Source organism: Homo sapiens, chromosome 1 (assembly GCF_000001405.40).
Source record: "Homo sapiens chromosome 1, GRCh38.p14 Primary Assembly".
NCBI lineage: Eukaryota > Metazoa > Chordata > Mammalia > Primates > Hominidae > Homo > Homo sapiens.
In genome coordinates, this window is record NC_000001.11 from 185829794 (window position 1) to 185857345 (window position 27552).

The 27552-nt window shown below is 35.6% G+C and overlaps 1 protein-coding gene across 4 annotated transcripts in view; it reads left to right on the forward strand.

Annotated features, from left to right (window-relative positions):
* The window catches only part of HMCN1 (hemicentin 1), a 456559-nt gene that overhangs the window by 95403 nt on the left and 333604 nt on the right, over positions 1-27552 (forward strand). For all 4 annotated transcript variants that reach the window (NM_031935.3, XM_011510038.4, XM_024450118.2 and 1 more), the window contains exon 2: positions 16233-16303. In NM_031935.3, coding sequence (NP_114141.2) covers positions 16233-16303 — 71 coding nt within the window. The remainder of the gene's footprint in view (positions 1-16232; positions 16304-27552) is intronic.

Here is a 27552-nt window from a genome sequence, read left to right on the forward strand (position 1 = left end):
GGTATTTCTGGTTCTAGATCCTTGAAGAATCACCATACTGTCTTCCACAGTGATTGAACACTCCCACCAACAGTGTAAAAGCATTCCTATTTCTCCACAGCCTTGCCAGAATCTATTGTTTCCTGACTTTTTAATAATCACCATTCTGACTGGTGTGAGATGGTATCTCATTGTGGTTTTGATTTGCATTTATCTGATGATTAGTGATGTTGAGCTTTTTTTCATGTATTTTTTGGCTGCATAAATGTCTTCTTTGGAGAAGTGTCTATTCATATCCTTTGCCCACTTTTTGATAGAGTTGTTTGTTTTTTTCTTGTAAATATGTTTAAGTTCCTTGTAAATCCTGGATATTAGACCTTTGTCAGATGGGTAGATTGCAAAAATTTTCTCTCATTCTGTAGATTACCTGTTCACTCTGATGATAGTTTCTTTTGCTTTGCAGAAGCTCTTTAGTTTAATTAGATATCATGTGTCAATTTTGGCTTTAGTTGCAATTGCTTTTGGCGTTTTTGTCATGAAGGCTTTGCCCGTGCCGTATGTCCTGAATGGTTTTGCCTAGGTTTTCTTCTAGGGTTTTTATGGTTTTGGGTTTTACATCGAAGTTTTTAATCCATCTTGAGTTAATTTTTGTATAAGGTGTAAGGAAGGGGTTCAATTTCAGTTTTCTGCATATGGCTAGGCAGTTTTCCCAGCACCATTTACTGAATAGGAGATCCTTTCCACATTGCTTGTTCTTGTCAGGCTTGCAGAAGAGCAGATGGTTGTAGATGTGTGGTGTTATCTCTGTTCTGCTCCATTGGTCTATATGTCTGTTTTGGTACCACTACCATGCTGTTTTGTGTAACCCCAGCACTTTGGGAGGCTGGGCAGATCACTTGAGCCCAGGAGTTCGAGACCACACTGGGTCACATGGCAAGACCCTGTCTCTACAAAAAAATACAAAAATTAGCCAGGCGTGGTGGTGTGTGCCTGTAGTCTGAGCTACTGAGGAGGCTGAGGTGGAAGGATCTATTGAGCTGGGGAGGTGGAGGTTGCAGCGAACTGAGATCATGCCACTGCACTCCAGCCTGGGTGACAGAGCAAGACTCCAATTCAAAAGAAAAAAAAAATAGTGGCTATATTAACTGAAAAAAACAAAACATAAATCTATGCCCCCACTATCATCAAAAGCACAAAGCCCTGATGATTTTATAAGGGAATTGAACCAAAACTTCAAAAACTTGATAACATTAATAACATTTAAACTCTTTCAGGGAACAGGTAAATGATGTGAGCATGATATTGACATCAAAATTTAATAACATTTTCAAAGAAAACTTTAGATCTTTCATATTCATGTTCATGCAAATAATTATAAAAATCCTACGTAAAATGTTGCCAAACAATTTAGCACATGTTAAAAGAATAAACATCCTGATTAAAGGTGTTTATTTCAGGGGCATGATGATAGGTCAATCAAAGGAAATTATTAACATATCTAAGGGAAGAACACATGATTATATTAATATATATAAAAGGCATTTAACAAAATTAGTGTTAAGGCTTGATTTAATTTAAATAAAAACCCCAAATCTATTAACAGGGAATAGATATATATTTTCATAACCTGATAAAATGTATCTGTTTCAATCTCAAATCCAGTATCATCCTTAGCGGGGAAACACTAGAAGCACTTGATAATTTTAGGAACAAAACAGTAATTCCACTATCATTACATTAAGCATTGTTCAGGAGTACTAGCCAATGCAATTAGATAAAAGAAAGAAATTAGAGATATAAAAGTAGAAAAACATTTACAGTTTCTATGATTGTGTATCTGAAAAGCTGAAAAGTCTTAGAAACAGTAAAAAATTCAGTAGAGTAGTGAATGAAAAAATATTTAAAAATCAATAGCTTTTATATATACAAAAATACAACCATTCAGAACGTATAATAGAAGAAATACCCCAATTCAAAACATCTACAAGAAAGATAAAATAACTAGCCATAAGTTTACCAAGAAATGTGCAAACATATACGGGAAAAAAATAAAACCTTAAAAGAAATAAAAAACCTTCTAAGATTTCCCCCAAAATATTACAATAATTGGAATGATACACTATAGAAAGCCTCAACATCTTGTCAGTTTCTCCTAATTGATTGTATAAATTTAATGTGACATCCACAAAAGTACAGGCAGGATATTTTTGGATATAGATTGGCTGATCTAAAGTTGATAATGGCCGGGCGTGGTGGCTCACGCCTATAATTCCAGCACTTTGGGAGGCTGAGGCAGGTGGATCTCTTGAGGTCGGAAGTTCGAGACCAGCCTGGCCAACATGGTGAAACCCCCTCTCTACTAAAAATACAAAAATTAGCTGGGCGTGGTGGCGCATGCTTGTATTCCCAGCTACTTGGGGAGCTGATGTGGGAGAATCGCTTGAACCCGGGAGGCAGAGGCTGCAGTAAGCCGAGATCACACCACTGCACTCCAGCCTGGGAGACAGTGAAACTCTCTCAAAAAAACAAAAAATAAAAAAATAAAGTTGATATGGAAAAATAATAAGCATGAATGGCCAGAAAAATTTAGCAAAAGGGGAGTAATGATGTGGGACTAGTTTTACTAGATATTAAAACATATTATTAAGCCTCAATTATTAAGACAATTTGGTTCTGAGCATGAAGGTAAAGATTAGTGGATTAGTATATAGAATACATATGTGAATCATAGTGGTTTGTAATGTCAATGGAAAAAATGGGTTTTTCCATAAATAACGAGAAGCCAACTAGGTAGCCATCTGGAAAAAAAGAGGTTCCATACCTTATGCCTTAGACTAGGATAAATTCCAAATGCATCATAAATGTAAATGTACATCATAAACCATAAATATACTTGAAGACATCATGAGAGAATTCTATACAACTTTAGAGGGAAGAAGGCTTTCTCAACTGTGATAAAAATCAGGACCACAAGAAAAAGATTAATAAAGTTTACTTACTACCTAAAAGAAAGCTATTTCTGCATGGCCAAAATTGCTATAAGAAACTTCAAACTGGAGGAAAGTTTTTGCAACTTACATTACAGACAAAATCTAATTTACTTAATTTATAAAGAGCTTCTACAAATTGGCACAAAATAACCAACAACCCAGTAAAAGTGGATGGAGACTGTAGACATTCATTTTATACAAGAGAAATTCAATAGATATCTTCCATTGTTACAGTAAGCACCCCCTCTTCTCATTATTTCTGTCTTAATAGCCTTCTTATTTCTATAGTAGCATTTATTTCAACTTGTTATTTTGTCTCTTTGCTTTACTTGTTTTATTCTTCATTTTCTCTCTAAGATTGTGAATTTATTGGAGAAAAGGATTATGTCTTTTTCTTCCACAGTTGTGCCAAGCACAGTGCTGTCAAATACGAGGCATCTGATAATGTTCGATTCTATTCCAGGTTGTTCTCTTCCTCCACCAGAAAAATACCTTCTAAATAGTGTTCCTTATCACTTCTATCAAACATATTCAGCTTTTTTATACTAAACTGTATAGATGGGCAGACATTTACATTATTAAGAAGACATCATATAAATTTACCAAGTAACTGGGCTATATACAATGTGAACTGTGTAATTAGGCTTTAAATAGTCAACTTCAAGTACAGGGCATGATTAGCTAGCAGGGACTTAAAAATTATAAAAAAGTGTCAGAAGTAGTGTGTTTGCCAGTGAAGATCTTACATTTTTTTAGTTGATTTTTTGGCAGAGTCTTCATTGATAACTTCTTCAGAGTTTTGAACTCAATTTCAATTGCTTTGAATTTTCTTCATTCTTTTATCTGTCTCTTTGATTTTTATGATTAAATACCATGATGAGATTCATAGGCAGCATTAGAGACAATATATGAATGACTTCAAAAGTTCTATTAATGTCTATTATTTCTCTCATACTTTTTAGGATTAAGTACCATAATTATAATATTTTAAGGATTTTATATTACTTAGTATTTTCTTTTTCTTAATTGTTTTTTCCTGACAGCCATACTCTTTTCCAATTTCTTCAGATATCACATTTTTCATTTCCTTAATTATTACTTAAATGTTAGCCTCTTCTAAAGTTGGTTATTTATGTATCTGTGCATTTCTTATTATACACACATATACATAAACCCACTTATATTTTCTGTTTTGCAAATTAAACTACAGATTTTTGAACACAGAGACTGCACTTTATAAATTGCTATAGTGACTATTTTAAAGTAGTGATTTCTGTATATTGTTCAAAATTGTCTCTTTCTATAACTCCACTGTCATTAAACAGTGAGGGTCACTGTCTAAGTTCTGGAGATTCAAAATGTCACAGTTGCTATCATCGGAGTAGTTTATAATCTAGTTTGGGAGAATGTATAAGTGAATGTAGCTATCTACTGTTGCATAAAAAAGTATTCCAAAACTTAGTGCTATTTAATAAAATAAACATTTATTATTTGCCAGTTTTTATGGGCCAGGAGCCCTAGCACTACTGAGCTGGGTCCTCTGGCTCAGAGTCTCTTACAAGTCTATAATTAAAATACTGATTGGACCTTGTGGTCCTTGCAAAACTTGACTGAAAAAGGATCCACTTCCAAGCTACTCACATGGTTGTTGGCAGGATTGAGTTCCTCTTGAGCTATTGGACTGAGGGCCTCAGGTACATGTTGGCTGCCCTCAGTTTCTTGTTATATGGGTCTCCATAGGGTAACAGGGTAGCTCACATGGCTGGTTCACATGACTGGTTTTCATCAGAGAGCAAGAGAGGGTATGCAAGAATGCAAGACAGAAACTATGGTCTCTTTATAACTTAATCTTGGTAGTGACATCTCATCATCTTTGCTCTATTCTTTTTTTAGAAGCAGGGCATTACGTCCAGCCTATAGCCAAGAGGAGGGGATTACACAAGAGTATGAATACCAGGATGTGGGGATAATTGCAGGCCGTTTTAGAGGATGCTTGCCACATTTGATAAATACTGAACAGACAGCTAAGACATATCCTTAAGATAAATCAGTTGAGTGAGCTCTAATTCAGAAGAGTGAGACATTCAGGAGGCTTTCCCAAAACAAATTGAGACCCAAGTTGAATCTTGAAGTAAGATGTGATAAGTAAATGGGGAAAATAGCCTCTTATATAGAAAAAATATAAATAAAAATGTAGAGATGGGCATTTTTCTAGATTATGTTGGAAACAGTGACAGATAACATAACTTGACGACAGTATTATTTTCATCTCCCTTTCAGTGTCTGCTAATTGTTATGAATGGATATCTGTAAAACACAGGTCAATTACTGCATTTTGGTTTGAGTACAGATCATACAACAAAGAAACAATCTCTGCCTTTTAGAATTCAGGTTTTAAAGGAAGACTTGATAATAATCAGTTAAGAAGAATGTGCTTCAGAGTGAAGAGGAGAAGCATGGGAATTGGGAGCCAGAGGTATTGAAACCCTGTGTGTGCTATCAGTTGGTATGGGTGCACTGATCACAGTGATACCAGAGAATGGCACAGAATGTCTCTTGTTTCTCTTCTGTAGTTTTTGGAAAGTTTTGGATATGTGCCACAGCTCATTGGTATTTGTGTAGAGACACATGCCTCTCTCTTCAATTGCCGCAGTGCATTGGTGACTTGTAAGGGGAGGGGGTGGGATGGCTCAAATGTGGATGCTTTCCTATTATCAAGTATCAGCATGATGTATGTATTCTGTCTTGGGCTGAAATGCCTTTGGAGAAGATTCAGACTGGAACAAAATAATTAACTTCATTGACCTTACAGAGACTAGGATAATTTCTAAATCTAGGATGCTTTTAGTTACCAACTAAAGTGAAGACTCTGAACTTCTTCATATTAGAAGTATTTAAATTTAAAATGGGCATTTACACTGATGATCCAGTATTATTTTCAGTATTTACAATTATATTGGATATTTCATATTTTAAATATTTCTTCTATGAAGAGAAAAAAGCAAGACAGACATTTGTACATAAATAGGCATACATAATTGCAACAGTATATATAGAAAATATAAATAATATACAGAAAAAAAGAACCAAAATTGGGCTGTGGTAGATTTCAGTGTTAGAAGTCTGAACAGTGTTTCATTTCACTCAATGAAAAGGAATTCTTTGTATATTCAATAAAGACTAACAGTAGGAAGATGACATTGCTAAGACTTGTGCACTTAAAAGAGACGAAAGCTTGAAGTGAGAGGATTGAAAAAGAATACCATATCCTGACAATGACTGTTTTGATTAGACTCGAAATACTTAAAATATTTCACCTCACAACATTAACAGATAATGTCTTAAATTAATGCTTTCCTTGTTATCTTGCCTAATGCTCAGAAATATTTCTGTGCTCTTTTTCCAGTGACCATTATAAGCAAATTAATAACCACACAGCCAAAATGCATGAACACAACATGAAGCTTGTATGTGATCAGGTGAAATTCCTCTTTTTTTTCTTAGATTATAAAACAGTACAATAAGTTGAAAATTTTGAAAAATAGAAAATACTCATTCTATTTGTTCCAAACATTAATTTTTACTCTGGTGTTACCTTTCAGCACTTGTCCTTATGCACATGTGTCTTTGCAAATAATTGCAATTAATTATATATACAATTCTGTGTTTTGCCTTTTTATTTATTATATAATAAACATTGGCTTATTTTTCTCCATGGAACAATAATTTAGTTGATTCCTAATATTATTTAGAGAATTATATGTTTTTAACCATTTCTCCATTTTGACTTTATTGATATTCTAAAAATGTTCGTGTCCTTTTATTTCCAGTGAATTATAACAAAGAGCGAAATGACTTTATCATAAGGTACTTTTGTTTAGACCTTTATTTTAGGTTCAGGGGTACATGTGCAGGTTTGTTTTTAGGTAAATGGCATGTAGTGGGTGTACAGATTATTTCATCACCCGGGTGATAAGCATAGTACCCAACAGGTAGTTTTTCAAACCTCACCCTCTTCCCACCCTCCACCTTCAAGTAGACCTGGTGTCTATTCTTACCTTCTTGGTGTCCATATGTATTCAATGTTTAGCTCCCACTTGTAAGTGAGAACATTCAGTACTTGGTTTCTGTTCCTGTGTTAGTTTGCTTAGGCTAATGGCCTCTAGCTCCATCCATGTTGCTGTAAAAACATGATCTTGTCCTTTTTTATGACTGCATGGTATTCTATGGTGTATATTCCATGGTGTGTGTGTGTGTGTGTGTGTGTGTATATATAAAATATATATATAAATATATATATATGTGTCACATTTTCTTTATCCAGTCTACTGTTGATGGGCATTTAGGTTGATTCCATGTCTTGGCAATTGTGAATAGTGCTGTGATGAACATATATGTATCACAAAATACGTTTAAGACTTGTAATACATGTAACTGTAATAAATTTCACAGATGTTGTAACCATTCACAATCTTACCAACAGTACAAATATTCCAGGTTTATCATGACACTAGTTTGAGTAATAATCTTTCAAAAAAGTTTTCTTTCTTACACAGTATACTTCAAATTTGCTGAAGTTTGCATCTCTTTCACTATGACTAAATGTGAGCTTTGTTCCCGTTGTTTTTTTGCTATCTTTTTTTAGAGTTTTCCTTTCATGTAGTGTTTGGTATTTTATTTTTTTCTTATGAAGTTGAACAATCTCTTCAGATATCATAGGTTTTAATCTATTTTAATTGTTCATAAAAATTTATGTATTTCAGATTTTAATTTTTATTTATTTTTGCTATATTTATTTCTGTCAGTATTTTCCTTTGTGATCTCTTATATTGCTTTGAAAAGTAGAATGTTATTTTTATATCGATCTGATATATATTCTTTTATATAAACATGGTTTTTCTCTCTTCATTAAGAAAAAAAACTCTTAGATTTTTCAGTAGAGAGTACTATTTAACCCAATGTCATGATAAACCTGGAACAAACATACTATTTTAGGATAATACAGTAAATGGTTCCTCTTTTAATATTCCTTAATCTGCTTTGTATTTGTCTTTTCTGGTTAGCTGTAGGCACCATCTGGGATCAGCCAGGAAACAGGAAACAGGAATTGTGTAATTTGAGTGAATTTACATACCAGTCAAATGCTCTGATATTTGCATTTTAAAACTAGCATTGCACACAATGAGGGATAGTAAAACTCTTGCTAGTAAATTAAGCCAGACTTCAGAGAGCTGGCATCTAGAAGAGAAGATCCTCCAGGCATGGAGACTGAGAGGGAGGTCCCTGGGCATCTGGATACTTCTTAGGCAAATACAGACCCACGTGGGCATCAGAAGGTTCTTCCTCACGATATAGGTTGTGCTTCACCTCTAGGCAGCCTGGTTTGCCAGATTCCCCTTCCCACCAGCACAAGCCCCAGGCTTTGTGCTCTTGGCAGGTCCATTTGAAGCAGACATCCCCTCTTTCCATGGGCCAGCCACCACAACTCTTGACAGACAGGCGACCCCCAGGGATCTGTAAGCCTCAGCGCTGAGGTGTGCTTGGTAGCTGGGTTGCAAGTGCATGTAAAGCTTGCCCCACTGAGACTTGGCCTCTGGCCTCTACTAGTGTGTTGTGGTGCTGCCAGCCTGGAGAGGGGTTTGCCACCTCCATGCCCCACTCAAAGATGGTGCTGGGCATTATACCCCCCAGTCTCAACCTTTCTTGTTCCCATATACAGATTCCTATTGGGGAACCTGTAGGAGCAGAGATGGGGCTACTGAGTTGGGCCTGGGCATCTAGGAGTGGGAGAGCAGGTAGCAGAGAATCTTGTGGTGGTGGGAGGTGGGAACATGCATGAGCCAAGGTCAATCATCCCATTGAACTTCACTTACAAAACACAAATCCAAAAGAAAAAAAATATTTCCCTACAGTGACTGCAAAGCATTAGACCCCAAGGTGAAAAGCTGTTGAGAGCAGGACATTGTCATAAATCCATGCATCTGGCTCTTAAATTTGTAAGACACACCCAGATATTTCTGACTTTTGTAGCTGAGATTCCTTTCTTTAAGTGTATTTGTTTGCTTGTACTTCTGACAATTTGAACTCTGCTAAGTATGTATACTGCCTGTTTGTTGAATGAATTGAAGCAAGTATTTAGGGAATACACATATTATATACACACAGACATCTATCATACTTTTAGCAGTGTCTCTGATTCCCCTATTTTGTGAATAAAATGTTTGCTTCATAAATATGGTTTTGTTTTCTCTGAAAACACAGTCAAAGTGCTGCATACATTTGTTTGGTTGTTGTGGAAACAATCAAAGCTGAAGTTAGGTCTATTCTCCCAACATGTGGAAATTTCAACAATGTTTAATGATTCCTTTCTAAGGACTTGCAAGCAGACTTTTCTCTTCTTCATCAACATTTTACCTCTTCCTTCATAATTTTTATTTTCTTTATCCCTAACTAATGACTAGATTTATTTTGAAAAATATTAATGTTAAGGAATTGCCTAAGAGCAATTAAAACTTTGAAATGAATTACAGTATTCTTATCCTAAAATTTAAAACACATATCCCAATAAGAATTATTTCAGTTCAAAAATATTCTTGAAGATGGTATTTATTTTCTTTTTGTTTGCTTTCAGGGTACCTTGAGAACGTTGGAAAGCTTGTTAATTAAATCTTATTAAATAGCATGACTTAAAATGTATCTTCTCTTGTATCTCTGATTATGCCTTATCAGTGCATAGATGTATTTTAATGTTAAAAATGTCATCTTACATTTAGGATTACATGTAAAGCTGAGAGTCTGAACTTTGTTGGCCATAAAAATCCCATGACTGTTTTTTGCAAGAGGGCTTTCTGCTGCTCTGGCCAAAGTCATCTAAGCAATAACATCCTACTCTATATACCTCAAAGCCCTGTGTTCATTATTAAGGAGTTCTTCTTTGCTTCTTGTTCTAAATATCTGTGTAACATTGCTGAATTTATGTCAACAATTTTTTCTACATCTCATTCAGCAGTACATGAAGTGAAATGATCCATGCATTATACATATACTATGTGCAATTTTGTTCAATGCATATATTTAAAGTTATACCCCTTATTGTTAAGTGGATAATCTCTTTGGAAGTGGAACAGAATGCTATTTAAGCCATATTAGATAATATGCTGTGCATGAATTCATCACTGATTTTATAAAATACACAAAATACATCACTTCATTGTCAAAACAATCATAAGGGCCTTTAAGTGGTCCTGAAAATTACCTGTTCTAATATGAATAGGAATGTACTCAACTAAATGAGTCCTGAAATATACTTGACATTAGCTCAGCTCAAAGTCAGGAAACAGTTCTGCATTTGTTGATTAGATGCAGATCATTTAAAAATGGTGCTGGACAGCAACATTATAAATGAGTAAGGATGGAGAAATATGGAACGCATGTATTGTAGATAAACTGAAAACAGTAAAAGTAGATATAATAATCTGATTTTTTGCAGTATCCTAAAGCAGAAAACATAATTTATTAATTTTTTAATTCAGAAAACATCCCCAATCCTTTGAATATGTATATTTATACTAACATTTTTGCATATAAAGGACATTATAATTGATTTGTCTTATATTAAGTGACTAAGAGTAGAATTTTTAGAAAGTGGGAGGGACATGTTGACTTTCAGCTCATGAATGGCATTTTGAGGAGGCCACTTCCCAATGCCTAGGATTTCTTTGTTCTTTTGTCACCCTCTATTAATTTGGTGTTCGCTTCATATCCCAACTCATACCCTGGATGCCTTCATGGTGCATTTTCTTACAGCTCATGGATCTCACTATCCTCTTTGGACACAGAAAATTTACTGTCTTCATGTATCTGTACTACTTGGCTCTTCTCAGATGCTGGTTTAGCTTTCTTTTAACTTTCCATAGCTTGCTGTTTTTTAAGTTTTCAACTGTGGTAGAGCCTCTGATTTATATATTTCTTAGCTTCTTCTATAATGCCTTGAAAATATTGATTAGTTTATAATGCAGCTCAGGGGGTTCTTGTTTTAGCTTTTCATATATTTATTCATGTATAACTATCAATATAAAGTTAAGAACAATATATTTTTAAAAAGAACAAAGAAATTGGGAAAATTGCTATTAAATTATGTGTAGGCAGTGTTTAGACCCCAGAAGGCAGCAGTAAATATTCCTCTCATTATCAAGGAACCACTTTGAGTAAAGAAAAACTACAAGTAGCAGAAATCTGTAAGTGGAAAGGAAAAAGGAAGTGAGAGGCTGGATATTGATCTTGCCAAATGAAGCAGTGAAAGAAAATATTACATTGTGAATTTTTTTCCATTATTTTCTTAAGTACAACCCAGCAAGTCAGATTAAGAGAACAATGGTTGAGATGCTGGAAATAAATCCAACCCATCTGATAAATCACTAGGAAATGGGAAATAATAAAATTACTGAAAAGAGAAAAGAGTTCCTTAGAGTTTCAGACATTAGTTTTTTAAAAATAAAAAATGGTTTCTGAAGCACAAAAAAATTGTTTATTTTTGTATAATACATGTTGCCTTACTGTTTTTTAAAAAATAAGTTATATATGAAAAATTGTATCAGTTTTCTGTATCAACTTTACTTGATTAAAGTGAATAAACCATTTTGGTTACATAGGAAACTGAAAATTGTTTCCGTTGATTAATCAGTGTCGTCACTGATCTTTAGCGTGGTCTTTAGCTATAGCATTGAGGCTCCGTGATGTAGTGATAAAGCAAGAAATAAAGAATCTGAAGGCCTAGGTTTAATCTTCTTTCTTTTTATTTTCCTCCTCCTTCCTCCTATATTCAAACACTTACTGGAAATCTGAATGTGTACTGAGGCAGTTAATCCCCTCAAGGTGCTGACAGTCAAGTGAGGTATGATTAAAGCAATCAGGCAATCATAGTATCATATGGTAGATGCTGGCTATCATGCTGCTGGCACTTAGTATTGTGGTAGCCCTTAAAGAGGCTGGGCCACTTTGGCTAATCACTTAAGCTTCTATTGTCTATATAATTATGTCTATCCTACCTACCCTATGAGGTGGTTATAAGGCTTCAAGTGGATCAGCATGTGTTTTAGAGTATTGTGAATTATAAAAGTTCTTGCAAATATAGGTAGTGATATGTAATAACCTTTTTGGTACAAGATGTGAATACCTTGTGAACTTGATATATAGAACTTAAAAAGAAATCAGTATGAATAAATAACTTTTGTTTTAACCAATTTGAAATCCAGAACTTTCACATACTTTTTGAAATCTCCCTTGGTTCTTTCTGGAAAAAAAGTCTGTATCAATTAGTGCTGTTACGCTACCTTTTCCACACTTTTATTTCTGCCCTTACTACATAGTACTATAGTTGTGTATCTACACTTTTATCTCACTAGACTGGTGAGACTTTGAGGACAGGGTCCATGTTCATTCATCTTTATATTACTAGTGGCAACTGCAAATAGTAGGTGTTCAACGTATTTTTGTTAAATAGATTTGAGAGGCAATTTTCTAGCGAAGTTGCTTTGTATGGTTGATTATAGTATTTACAAGGCAAGAGGGATATTCAGTCTATTAAAAAATATCCACCCAGCCAGCCTGGGCAACATAGTGAGACCCTGTCTCCAAAAAATATGAAAAAAATTAGCCAGGCATGGTGGCTTATACCTGTGGTGGCAGCTACTTGGGAGGCTGAGGCAGGAGGATTGCTTGAGCATTGGGAGGTCGAGGCCGCAGTGAGCTGTGATCATGCCATTGCACTGCAGCCTGGGCAACATAATGAGACCCTGTCTCAACAAAAAATAAAAAAATTGGCTGGGCATGGTAGCTCATACCTGTGGTCCCAGCTACTTGGGAGGCCGAGGCAGGAGGATCACTTGATCCTTGGGAGGTCAAGGCCGCAGTAAGCTATGACAGTGCCACTGCACTCCAGCCTGAGTGACAGAGCAAGAGCCTGTCTTAAAAAAAAAAAAAACTTTAAAAATATCTAGGCATGTGACAACAAAGCATGCTGGGTACTGTGTGCATCAAATTAAAATTCTGGACTCCAAAGAAGCTCATCCTGCCCATAGTTCAGAGGAAAGGAGAAGGATGTTAGTCTTCTCCTTTCACAGAATGGAGATATTGGAAAACAGGGAAAGTTAGCGAGCTGCATAGGTCACTCAGCATAAAATACGTTAGCAGTTATCTTCACCTCTTTCTTCACTACCAAAGTTTTTCAATTTCATTGTCTCTGGACCTCAAGTTTTCTTGTCTGTAGGATAAGGGGATTGAACCAAACAATCTTTAATGCCCTTTCTAGCTCTATACTTATATTTGAGATTGATGGTTATTTTCTTTTTTATGGGTGAGTTTTCTTTGTAAACAACTAGATAAAATAAACTGAATAACGTAGGAATGATCTCTGCATTTTGTTAAATATGCAGCTTTATTCATCCCACTTTCTGTTATAACAATGTTATCAGGACGACAGTAAAGCAAATTAGAGAAAAGGCAAAACATTAACAAAGATAAGGTTTAAATCAGGCCTTATAGACTGACAGGTACGTCGGCAGGAGAAAGAAAAGGGGGACAGTGATGGGAATGGTAAGGAAGTGCAATAGCTTCAAAGTTTGAAGTTTGTAGTGAGCGCCTGGATTACCTTTGAGAGTTCCCATTTAATTCTATAAGCACTGGAGACCATGTTCAGGCAGGAAGAGAGGACAAAGTTGTACCTGCTGAATGTCATCAAAGGCTTGGCAGGGGATGAAACCAGCATGAGTGAAAAGGAAGAAAAGAGGAAATTGCTAATGACACAGCTGGCACAGGGCTCTGTTATGTGAAAAGAAAGACTGGAATGGAAGCAAGTTCTGAAAGGGAGGAGGGCTGATTTTGCCAAATAGTCATATCATTCAATTAAAATGAATTGGAAAAGATGCTTACAGCTGGAGGGATAGGGCAGCTGGGCAAGCTATTACCTCTCCTGAGTATTTCTCATAACTGATAAAGATTTATCTCAGCTGTCCAGTTGTGGCTTGCAAAAATGTTTATTAATGAGCTTTAAGAAAGATTTCCTATCTTTGTTGAAAACAGGTGTATATTTGAGAGTGTCTGGTTAATTGAAATGAAGGCTTATCGGTCCTCTTATTTTAATAGCATCCCTTGATCCCCACTCTTGAAGAGCAGGCATATATTCAGAGATATTTTTTATTACTATAGGGAATGTCCTTGCATGTTTACACTCTTTATTATGATATAATTGTTTTTTTCTAGTATTCTTTGTATTTCTTTCTACTTCTTGAGTTTTAAATTCTTGGATTATTTCAGTATTATGCAATGTGGGAACATAGAAGCTTGGCTTGACAATGCTACTGACAATTTATATGTCAGGGTGTAACTGCCTGGCATATTCTTTGCTGTTTTGCATTCCTTTGCAAAGTATGCCTTTGTTTAGTCTTGAGGGAGTAGGCTTCTCCCATTTTCCATATACTTGGGACATGGTTAATGACGGTTCTGCTTTGTATGGAATGCAGATGTTTGCATTTTCACAGTTTCTCCAATTGCTTCTCCACTCCTTTTTCAAACTGCAAAGTGTCTAATCTATAGTGAAGGATTGAGGCATTTTTTCCTGTTATTTCTAAGAAAAAGTACATGGGTTATGGCAGACAAATTGTACCTCCTTTCCAATTTGTCTCATTTATTTTTAAAATACTACAGTCTGTTTTTGTACCATATGTAGCTTGTTATGGAAGGTTTGGCTAATTAATTATTATTCTTTGGAGTTATAAGCTCTTTTTGAGCAGTATGTCTTTAAAGCTAGAAAACATTTTGTAAAAGCTAAATGTTAAGTATCTTTATAATTTTGCATTGTAGTTGCACGTTATAGTTTCGAATGAGTCTATATCATCATTACATAAGATAAGAAGCTTTTCATCCACCATGAGAATTTAAGATGATATATCTAAGCACATGGTACCCAGATGAATTTTAATACCATTACTTAAATACATGGATTCTCTCTGGGGAAATAATTGATACCCATAAATGGCCACTTTTAGTTTATCTATTTTAAGAGTTGATTTATTTTTTAAAGAGAAGAAGCTCTGGGGATTGAAATATTTACTATAGACATGCTGGATCCAACCAAAAATACAAATATATATGTATATACAGATTTCCAAGTTAACCCATGATATCTGGGATCCTTTTATTCACCTGACTTATGATCTAAGTCTTGGCTCTCCAGGGAAGGCAGTGGCCCCACCTTTTCCTGTTGGAAGAAGTGATTTTGTGTAGTACATCTGGGCGGTTGTGAGGATGGCCACAGCCCTGAAGGTAGTTATGGTCAAAGCCAGCTTAGGAGAATGGCGATAGCCAGGCTCAGCCACCCCAGCCATGAGAAAAAAAGTTATAGGGACTATTTCCTGCACTGTTAATGTCCTTGCAACTATACATCTCCAAATTCTTTTTCTTTCTTTTCTTTTTTTTTGAGATGGAGTCTCGCTGTCTCCCAGGCTGTAGTGCAGTGGCATGAACTCGGCTCACTGCAACCTCCACCTCCTGGGTTCAAGCAATTCTCCTGTCTCAGCCTCCTGAGTAGCTGGGACTACAGGCATGTGCCACCATGCCTGGCTAATTTTTTTGTATCTTTTAGTAGAGACGGGGTTTCACCATGTTGGTCAGGCTGGTCTCGAACTCCTGACCTCAAATGATCTGCCCGCCTTGGACTCCCAAAGTGCTGAGATTACAGGCGTGAGCCACCGCATCTGGCCACATCTCTAAATTCTTAAAAACCTATGGGATAGGCAGTGAATGTTCACTTTTTTCTATTTTGTTTAGCACCAAACTTTTTATTTTGAATGAGTTAAGACTTACAGAAAAGTTGCAAACAAATTTACACTTTAAAGTTGGGCAGACTGAATTATAGACGAATAAGTGATTCATCTAAATTCTAACAAAGTGGTGCTTAATAAATATTTACTGACGAGAATAAGAAAGAACTGGAACTGTGCTCTCCTGATTCTTTGTCCTGTGACTATTTTACTCCTCCTTGCATTTCTTATGGTTAAAAATTCACTCTTTTAGATATGCATACTTTACAGTAAATTATAAGTTATTCTCTGGTAGCTACAAATTGAGAAAGAGTGTTTGGTATTTTACTATTTCTTATTAATAAGTAACCATGTACTGCAAGGTGAAAAGACATCTATAAACACAAGAAAGTCTTTAATGCCATTGATTACTGTTTATTGACCTATGTTATTTTTATCTTCACAGAAATTGGCCCAGTGACAATTACCACAGATCCCAAGAAATTTCAATATGAACTCAGAGAACTGTATGTTCAGGTGAGTGCTTGCTTTCAGTGTTCTCTTGGGGGAATGGAAAATCATGAGCCTTTGGCTGATTTTCTTTATTTTTTAAATCTAAAAGACATAGTTGTTGGCTTTTTAAGGGACCCAATAATTGCCACATCCCCCAGCCCTCAACCTGAGTCTGGAATGAATTGAACAATACATACAGAAATAGGACAGATGGGGTTTGAAATATCACCAGTTAGTTACTACCTATGGCTGGTTTACACTATCACGGCAGAGTTGAGTAGTTGTGGCAGATTGGTCCCTTTAAGGAAAAAGTTTGCTGACCCCTGCTCTACATAAGTCTTTTTGCTTAGAAATATAAGGAACGGTTAATAATTCTTTTCCCATAAAATTAATGGCATAACTAAGGTAATTTTGATATTCTATGCTGCTATAAGTCAGCCATATGAAATGTTTGACTGTACATATAACTTGGTTATTAGAGAAGATGAATCACATTGGTTTAAATGTTATTCTGAAAACAGAACTTAGAGGTAAAGTTGCAATGCATCTTCTTCTGGTGCTGAATTTATTCATTTAAAAAATTGGCTTTTCCGAGGCTGTTTCACTGTACTACCTTCTATGGTCTCTGCCTCTGTTATACTCAGACTTTTTGGCCACTTTCCATCATTCATTTTGGCGATCGGTACCTGCCTCATTGGCTGCCTTTCCTCCCCAGGACTGCCATTATTCTGAGTGACTTCAACATTTATGAGAATGACCTAGTCAGAATAGTCCCTTTTCAGTTCCTTGACCTACAAGTTATCTTCAATGACCTTTTCTTTACTCTCTCTTAGTCATCTATTTCCACAAACATCCCCTAGATCTTGTTATCATCTGTTTCCTCTCTTAGATAATTCAGACATCTTAATCAACAATTACCTGTGCACTGAGCGGGTTGGTGCAACTTTTTACACTACAACCACTCCCTTACCCTCAGCAAGCACTCCAGTCCACTGACCCCTACACTGTCTCCCAGGCCATCAGATTTCTTATTTTTCACTTCTTCTAATCTAGCTTAGAGTTTTTTTTTTATCATTTGAACACTGCTTTTTCTCCTTTGTCCATTGCCTTTCTGTTCAAAAGGCATAACCTCATTCCTGAATGACCTCAACTGTCTGCATTATTCATGCTTATCCACGAGTGGCCAAATGTGGTTGAAATTTCACAACATGACACTTTGAGTCTCTGGTGAATTCATAGCCACCTAACTCAAATGGACTCTTAATACTCCCATGATGTTACTATGTTTGTTTGATCAATAAAATCTTCCTTTCTTCTCAATGACAATTCCAAATCTTATTCACTCTCTTTTAACCTATATCTCACCACCCTTTTACTACTGGTTATTTCAGCAGATGATCTACTCAGAGCAAGTGACCTCATTTTCACACACAGTCACAAACAAATGAAGCCCTCTGCTTCCTCATATGTAACATATAATCCATTTCCATCCAGCACCTATCCTATCCTTATTCACTTGATCTCAATTCCTTGGCTTTCTTGGGATTTTAACACTATCAAACTGTTTCTCTCAACTGTTAAAGAGTTCCTATTGAGGCTGGGCACAGTAGCTCACGCCTGTAATCCCAGTGCTGCTTTGGGAGGCAAAGGCAGGAGGATCATTTGAGGCCAGGAGTTTGAGACCAGCCTGGGCGCATAGTGAGACCCTGTCTCTAAAAGAGAAAAAAAAATTCAGCCAGGCATGGTGGTGCATGCCTGTAGTCCCAGCTACTTGGAAAGGTGAGGGTGGAGGATCACTTGAGCCCAGGAGTTCGAGGCTACAATGAGCTATTATGATACTACTACACTACAGTGTGGGTGACAGGATGAGACCCTGTCTCCAAAAGAAAGCAAAAAAAAAAGTTTTCATTGTTTTTTAAATATGTATGTTCAAGTCTCAAAAACATACAAACAAATCCCAACAAACAAAACCATAAAAAACAAAACAAAATAAACAACAAAAAATTTCAGTATTTTTCTCAAGTTCTCTTACAAATAATTTCTATTCTCTCAATTCCCTCAATGCCAACCGCATTGTCTATGTTCACTGCTATCATTTCCTTACTCCCATTTCTGCCATTCACTCTTCAATCTATTTCAATCTAGTTCCCATTCCTCCCACTGTATCAAAGTAGCATTAGCTAGTGACCAGTGATATCCATTTTGCTAAATGCAATGGAAATGCTCCAGTCCTCATCATACTGAATAGACATCTCTGTAGTCTTTGACAACATTGGACTCTCCCTCCTGCTTGACACACTTTGTTCCCTCATCCATGTTTCATTTTTTAATCTCATTTTTCCTACTCAACTTCTTAGGAAACTTCATTTCCTTCCACTTGGCCATTGAGTATTGGTGTTCCTCAAGGTTTTGAAACTGGCTCCTTTTTGTTTTCTCATTTTCTATCCTCTCCTTAGGTAAAATCATCCATACCATGTAAATATGCTTTAGCCTTGACCTCTTTCCTGAGGAACAGACCCTCTTTTCAGTCCTTGGATGTCACAATGGCCTTCTAAAATGAAATTCATGAATGTTCTTTTTCCAGTACCCTAAATGTGGTCCTTAATCCTTGGCTTTTGTCTCCTCCTTGTTACCTTTGTGAATGATGTTATAGTATTCTGGTTACCCAGCCAAATATCTGGATACTTCCTTAATACACCCTGCACTTTTACCCCTTATAGTCAGTCCAACTGTTAGTAAGTGTTGTTTGTAACTTTCTAAATACCTTTTAAATCAATTGACTCCTCTCCATTTCTTTTGACACCATCTGAGTCCCAATTACCATATCTTTAGTCTAAACAAATGCAGAAAATCTTCTAAGGGATTTTCTTGCATTTATTCTTGCTTCTATTTTCCAGGCCTAGCTTCTCTACTCTGCAGACAAAGGGATCTCAGAATACAGCTCTGAAAGTTTCTGCCTTGTACCATATCTACTTGACTCTTTACCCACACCTCATCAAATTCTTCCTATGGTTCTGGGTTCTGAGTGATCTAAGACCTTCCTACCTTTCATTCCCATCTAGTGCCACTCTTTCTCCTAGGCTCTGTACTCTGCTGCAGAGGCCTTGCATAGAGCTTCCCCATATCTGTATCCCCACCCATCTCCTCAGGGCATTTTTGCACATGCTGTTCTCGCACAGAGAGTTCCTGTCTTTCAGTCTGCCCTCATTTCCACACTCCCTTAACCTAGTTTAAAATCCTGTATTCAAAGTCTCATCTTAAATAATACCACTTCCTCAGAGAATCCTGCCCTATTTTCTTGGCTGGGTCATTTCTCACTACCTTTCTCTGTCATAAAGCAGTTGGGAGTTCACATTGAAGGACTGCGTATAATTTAGCTTATTAAATACCCCAGTAAAAGGACTGGCATATAGAACATGTTCACTTTTTAATAAATGAATGAATGAATGAATATACCAGAATATGCAGATTAACAGAGTCCAAATCAGAGTTTGAAGTATAATACTGTCATCGATTCACTGTTGGATAAATGACTTAATTCGGATCTGCACATAGTAATGAGCATAATTGAGGCATAGGGTATGAAACTGGAAGTTTGGCATTCCAAATGTGTATTCAAGGGTGATTCTATTTTGTCCATGTCTCCATTTGTAAATTATATACTAAATTGAATTGTATTTGATAAATATTTAAATAGATTTATATAATTATCTCTTGATTATTTTTCTCTGTTACTGGATTTTTTTTGACATTTTTTTTCACCAACAGTCTTCCATTTCCTTTCTCTTATACCACGGCATTTTTTCAGTCATTATTTTGCTACTTATTTACTATTTGCTTTTCTCTGCCTCAATATAGCAAAAATTCTTTGCCACTTTGGATGTCCAAATTCTCTGAAAAAAAATTTCCTTAGAAACTTATATTATATTCATGGATCTTGGAAATTAGAAACTGCATTGTTCTGGTTGTTTAAATGCTTTCATGTACCCTTATTGCACTGAGTTCCTGAGGACAAGAGCCCTGTAGCTCGTATTAACCTGTGCTTCATCTGGAAGATAAACCAGTGTCTGCAGTAGAGTAGACTTTCAATAGCTGTTGAATAAATGAGTGCCATTTGAGGTGGCTTCTTTTAAAAATGTACATTTAACAGTAAAACTGTATCAAATATTATTTAAACTTTACTTGATGGTACAGAAAATACCCGAAAAACCTAACCATCAGTTTTTATTGCCTTATAGAGAATCAGAAGGGCCAAGTAATGGGAATTTCTAGCAGATAGAATGTTAGGAAGGCATTTATTGTATTCATTTTTTTTTCCTCCGTGACAATACACTCTTATATTCTTGAAAATCTGGCCAGAATGAAAATACCTACCTTGTCAATGAGACCTGGCACAGGCTTCCTGATTGTCTGCCTGTCCCCTTCTTTTGTTCTGAAGGATCTATAGGGAGTGCCCTGATCCTCCTTGCTCTGTTTGACTCCAGGGTGAAGGATCCTGATTCCTGACTCATACTCCATGACTGCCTCTGCAGAGGCCTCCCTCCACCCTCTGGAATTGAATCTGATACAGACACTCTATAAGATTATATAATTTTACCTTTGTTCAGAAAAATAATTTTTCTTTCTTTCTCCCATGCAGTAAAAGCTGGGGTCTATTTCTCTGTAGGTTTCCCCTGGACAGGCTTTATCTTATGGGATTTTCTTTTTTTTTTCTCCCCTTTTCTGCACTTTCATAGGATCCAAAAGGATGCTTAATTAGAACAACCAGCAAGGGAAAAAAATCAAATACTTACTTTTTCCCTTCATTCAACATTAAGCATTGTTACAGGCATTGGGAATACCACAGAAGTGTTTTTACTTTCAAAGTTTCTAGTGAATTATTCTGTCTTAAATCAGTGACAAAAAATTTAAAGGTTAAACATGAAAAGTCTAGTCTACATCATCACTTAACACTAAACTAAAGGATATATTTTGTTCAGTGTTTACTTATAGAATACTTTATTATTTCATTAATCAGTTTGAGATATCTCACAAATTTCTTAAAATTTTAGTATGAGATATAAAATTTTGTTTTATGTATGATTTTCAAACCCTTCTCCAGTTCCCTTTCTGCCATTTTTAGTAACTCCCACAAAATCACTGATATCAAAAGAAGCAAGTATTGTTATCCTATTAAACTAACTTGAACTTTAAAAAAAGAAAACCTTTAAAAATATTCCTTTCATATTTAAATTGGTTTTGAAAACAATGAGAAGTAAATTCAGTTTGAAGTGCATTAATCATCCATTAACATTAGAGCAGGCTTGGCTATTTTTCTTCTAGAGATATGGAATTAACGTGAGAAAAAGCAATCTAAAATTTTCCAGGAAAAAATTAGCAAAAAATTATTACACTTAATTTATTAAATTTGTACCATTAATTTCACTTTCCTTTATCCTCTTTCATCTGGAATACAGAGAAGTAACTTGAAAACAACTGTGCTTTCTCTCTGGGGAAAAGAAGGAAAGACAAATGACAACAAATGGTATTCAAATCACACAGAGCTTTGGAAATTAATATCCTCGTAAATATGCAGTGCAAAGCCTTGCTTTGGGACACATTCTTTATAAGAAACTATAAAGCTTGTTGATTTTTAGAAAATGGTATTGGCAGTGATATGCTTTCAAGCCTTTTATCCAAATGTTTTAAAGAACAGAAAGTATATTAGTCAAACATTCAAAGTGTAAACACACACCCCCCCCAACACACAGACATACACACAACCCCTCAAAACACCAAGTTATTTCTACAATAATGAGATTACAATGCCAACTTTTGTATAAATTGTTGATCCCCCAAATCAAAAGCTTTACATATAATTTAAGTTTCCTTAGTAAAGTCTTTTAATAAAATTGACTTTTTAAAAAAGTAGGAATATGATTAAAAATATCTGGAAAAGCATTGTCACATAGCAACATGATAGAGTTATGAAGATGATAGGGTGAGGTCCAGGAGAATAAATGGGTTTAAACTTCGGCAGGTTAAGGTTAGGGGAAAAAGAATGTTTTCTATAGAAGAACAGTTGATAGAATTAACTGTCTAAGGAGAATATGAAATACCCTCAGATAGGCAAAGACTGCTAAAAAGAGGAGAACAAGATAATGATGATTTTAGAAGAATAATTTACTATGCCAATTTGGTGTATACACTTTATCTAATTTCTAGTTTTTAAAAAAATGCTATTGTATAAAACTGTAACTTTAATTTCTAGATATATAGAGAATTCTTCCATATGAATTTTAAAAAAACATATATGGCTAGACAAATGAAGAAAGCAAATACATTTTAAAAATAAACCAAAAAAGGAAAGAAAAGGCATTATATGTCATCATGGACATAGATATAATGTAGAGCTATCAGAGGTTTGATTTTCATTTTTGGACATGATTAGACATGATTCAACTTAGAAAAGCAGTTTTAATTTCCATTTAAGTTTTCATAATATGCATTTGCTTACAAATATCCTACACACACACACACACACACACACACACACACACACACACACACACACTTTAAAGGAGGACTGGCTTGTATTTAATTTAGGGAAGAAAGTATGATAAGGCATTTAACTCATAGTATGCATAAACCTTCAAGCAGAACAGTGGCCAAAGTACAGGCTCAATAAATGTTATCTATTGCTACTACTAGCTCTAGTACTCCAAAGTTCTTTTAAGGGAAATAATCCCCAAATATTTATGTTGTAAATGAGCAACAGTTTTGGAATATGTGCCTTGCAAAAGGTTTTGCAAGTGTTTTAAAATCATTTTCTCAATTTATACTCACATAAATATTACTATTTCTTTTTATAAATGAGGAATCTCAAGCTTTTTGATATTAGGTAACATGTCTTACACAGGTCACAAAAATAGCAAGTAGCAAAGCTGGTCTCAAAATAAGGTATTTAATGCCAAAGCCAGTTTCCTTTATTGCTTCGCTACTTTCCTTCTAAATATCTGTTTAAATAACCTTATTGATCTAATCAAGTTAACATATTTATTTATATAATTTGTATGTTACTTCAAAGTAGGAAAGTAAAGAATTAAAGACAGATGTATGTCTAGGGCTGATCTCATCCTCAACAAAATGAATTTATTTCTCAAATATTTTTACTTCATTCCTATCTCCAATCACTTTGAGTAACTGGCCCACCAAAAATTACCAAGTAGCAAATGACAAAGTTAATAATAAAATCACTGGCTTTCCTCAGCAAATGTTCTTGGTACTAAGTATGATAAGCTTATTTAAACTCATGCACACTTTGGGGAGAAACAAGAACAAAATATGTTTAAGATATTGAAAGGTACTATATCTACTGTAGGTACATTCATAGGTAGTGTTTTGATTTTTATGTTTAGTGTTGAAATTCCTTTGGGCCTGAATGAAGCATCTATTAAAACTTTAGTTTGCAGTTCGAGTTTTCTATTAGAGTTTCTGCTAGAGTAAAGAATTCTCTGAGGGACAAACCATCCTACATCCCCAGAGAACAAGGAATAGAGACTGCGACAAGACAGTGGAGGACAGGAATGGGAATGTTTGACCCTTTTTTAGGTATCCATTTAGGTACCCTATCCAGAAGCAAATACGTTGTTGATATTGTAATGATCTTTTGTGTAAACTTCAAAGGACAAAGAATATTGAAGGCTATTTTGACTGTTGGATTACTTTTTCAAAATGGAATATACAGGTGATTAGAGTGGGGTGGATATTATAATGGGAAATTTCTTGAATTTCTTTTAAAAGTGTGCATCTATGGGAATATCCTTAAGGGTAAATACATGAGTCATTGCGTGGCAAATATTGCAGATTCCTGTGGCCAAATAACATTTAAGAGAAAGAATACACTAAACTATGATGCCTGGATTCAATCCATATGTGCTGCTTAGGCAACCAACAGATTGTTCTATTCCCCACAATAAGTACTAAATCTGATTTTGTTAGTTTTTAGGTGATGGTAAGGATGGAGATCAAAACAGTTTCCTTGGGAGAATTGTCCTTGATCTACAGACAGGATTCCTAGAGAAAACTATAAATCTCATTTTTTCAGAGTTGCTAGCAGCTGCAGCTAAAAAACAAACTCATTTTCAGTGAAATGGACATAAAGGAAAATTAGAATTTTTTCTCTATCCAAACTGGGTAGGAGCAGTTAGTTCTCCGAAAGCATCTTTTTTTATTCCTAGACCTTAAAAAAAAATTCAGGAGAATTGTGGAGTCCTAGTATTGGAATTGATTTTGAATATCACTTGTCCAGTTACCCCGTCAGATGTTGGAATCCCTTCCAGCAACCTGTCAGTACCCCAGACCTGAGTAACACTAGTTAAAGATTTGATAGCACTGGATTTTGTCACCAGATGATACCTGGGGGACTCCTATGGAGCAATGTCTGGGGAGCTTCTTTTAATGCTGGAGGCTGATATCAGCTTTCTTTGGCAGGCATATTACATTATTGAATACTGATTCTGTCATCAGCTAAGTCCCTCAGGTTTCCTTACATAAATGTTTAAACTAGGTCTCTATCCTTTTATATTCATGGTGATTTTTTAAAATCCTGATTTATTTGCTCTATCATATATGTAGTCATTGCCTTTAAGATCTTATTTCATCATTTTTTAAATGACTACTAAAAACAATGTAAAATTTGCGTACCTCAAACTTTCTTATAATGTGATGTCTTTGTAAATCATAATGATTTTATTAGTAAAAATGCATTTTTCCATTTTGCCAAGAGAGGAAATTACACAAGCAGTATAAATATATTTTTACCACATTAAATAATCACAGCATTCCAATCTTCATTAACTAGCTAATAACAAAGATAATACCAAATGTGCTAGACGGCATGCAGAATCCATATGTGAGTGTTGGAGCAGAAGGAAGAGAGAAATTTCTATGGCTAGGTAGAGTCTTGACTAGCAGAGAGGAAAAACAGAGAAGGATCATAAGAGAGGAAGAACTGGGAGCAAGAAGGTCTGCTCAGAGCAAGTATAGGTATGGTGAATGCTTCCTCCTCGAATAAGCAAATGATGATTGGCTAGTAAGACCTTCTTAGACCCTGTCCCTGCCCCCTCTGGCTCTTGCTCCCTAAGCAAACAAGGGAACCACTTGTTAGGTGGGACCAGGAATCCATTCCAACCAGGGCAATGGCAGTGTCTTAATTTTGAAGGTCACAATAAAAAGATACCGAATCCTTGAAGAGGGTAAGAAAGAATTCTCTAAGAAGCTGAGAAGAGGATGGTTACTGAAGGGTGACTGAGAATACTGAGATATAATTTGTTAGTTTCCCATTTTTGCCTACGGTTAACCCTGCCTGCTTCTTCTTTTTATTCTTGGTTGTCTCCATCCTATTTCCCTCTTCAAAGGACCACTTACTGTCCATTATAACTCATGTGAATTATGAAACTTTTGATTTTTTTTAATGTATTAGGCACAACATTTTCTAATTTGCTAATCAAGATATTGAGTGCCTGGTACATAGTGCAGTTTTTATAAATATTTTATTTGAAGCAAACTGAACCTTCTCCAAAGACCCAACAAAACATGTCCCCTGAAGACCCACCTAAGCTCTACTAGCTCCCTTGAAAGAAGGTCCAACGAGTTGAAAGATCAGTTGCCGATGAGTTAAATCCTTACCAGTGACAGGTGATAATCTGAAAGCATGGACATTGTTGTAATTGTTACCTTTACTGTGCCTGGAATTGTGGTCAGCAGTTCTTTGATGCTTTAATTTGGATTTCACCTTCTTTGAGCTTGTTTGGTCATCAGTGAATGTGTAGCAAAGAGCAGCATAGTTTGACTGTCTGGGATGTAACATCTTTTATTTAGATTTTGGAGATTTGAGGTTTGGGCTCTGCAATATTCTGATTGTCTCTCAGTACATCCCTGCAATATATTCTACAAGTAATAAAAGCCAGCACATGTCACTGACGAACTCTGTAATTATTCTAATTTGTTTTATATTTGCTTCGATGCAACTTTAAATTTGATTCAATGTAATTTAATGGTTTTCACATGTACATCCTGTTTTCTTGGTAAAAGAATTGCACAACTGTATTTTAAGAAAGAGAGCTGAGAGTTGTAAAATTTTGTTCAGCTTTAGACTAGGCGTGGTGGCTCACGCCTGTAATCCCAGCACTTTGGGAGGTTGAGGTGGGTGGATCATCTGAGTTCACGAGTTTGAGACCAGCCTGGCCAACCTGGTGAAACGCTGTCTCTACTAAAAAATACAAAAATTAGCCAGGCATGGTGGCGGGCACCTGTAATCCCAGCTACTCGGGAGGCTGAGGCAGGAGAATCTCTTGAGCACCAGAGGTGGAGTTGCGGTGAGTGAGATCGCGCCACTGCACTCCAGCCTGGGCGACAGAGCTAGACCCTGTCTCAAAAAAAAAAAAAAAAGGAAATTTTTTTTTGTTCAGCTTGAAACTGAGTTGCATACCTAAATTTTACAGGTAAGGGACAGATTACACAAATAAGACATTTCACACATGGGTGTTCCCTGTGAAAAGGATGTAGTCTGACTTTGAAACTAAGCGCAAACTCTAGTAGGTTATACTCATGTTAGAATAAGGGTAAATATTGTAATGCCAATAAGAATTATTTTGAACTTAGTCATGAGTCTATAAAAAAGTTTCAATTTTTATTGCTTAGACTTAGGCATCTGGAAAACAACTGATATAAAAACGAGTTCAATGAAAAGACGAGAATAGAAGAATTGAAATAGGTTGACTAGAAGATAAATGATAAGGCATGGGAGCATGCTTGCTCTGAGATTAACATTCTTGGGTCTCTCTGGTCCATCATTTGATGTAGATTTTCCCATTAGGATTCAAACAGGGACTTCATTTTTTTTCCAACTCCTCTCACAGTTTAAAGTTTCAGTTTATTCCAGTGCCGTTCCTACACTGTCTTGTATTTAGAAAAGACAGCAAGATAATCTGTGTTTTACTACTCCCTTGAATGATAAGATTTCTATTCATTCTTATTTAATCTTGTTTTCCAGGAATTCATTTTGTAAACATAATTATCACCGTAACTCTGAAGTTACAGTTTTTTAAAAATATTTTTTATTCCAGGAGCAACATTTACTGTGAAAGCTCACATGCTTCTGTTTTTCTTAGTACACGTTTTTCTATCTGAAAGGTCTTTGGCAATTTAGTAAATTGTAGGTATCAGTAGAATTATAAAGATAAAATGTCAATCAAAATATTGAGCAGGACTGTGCATACTGATACTAATTA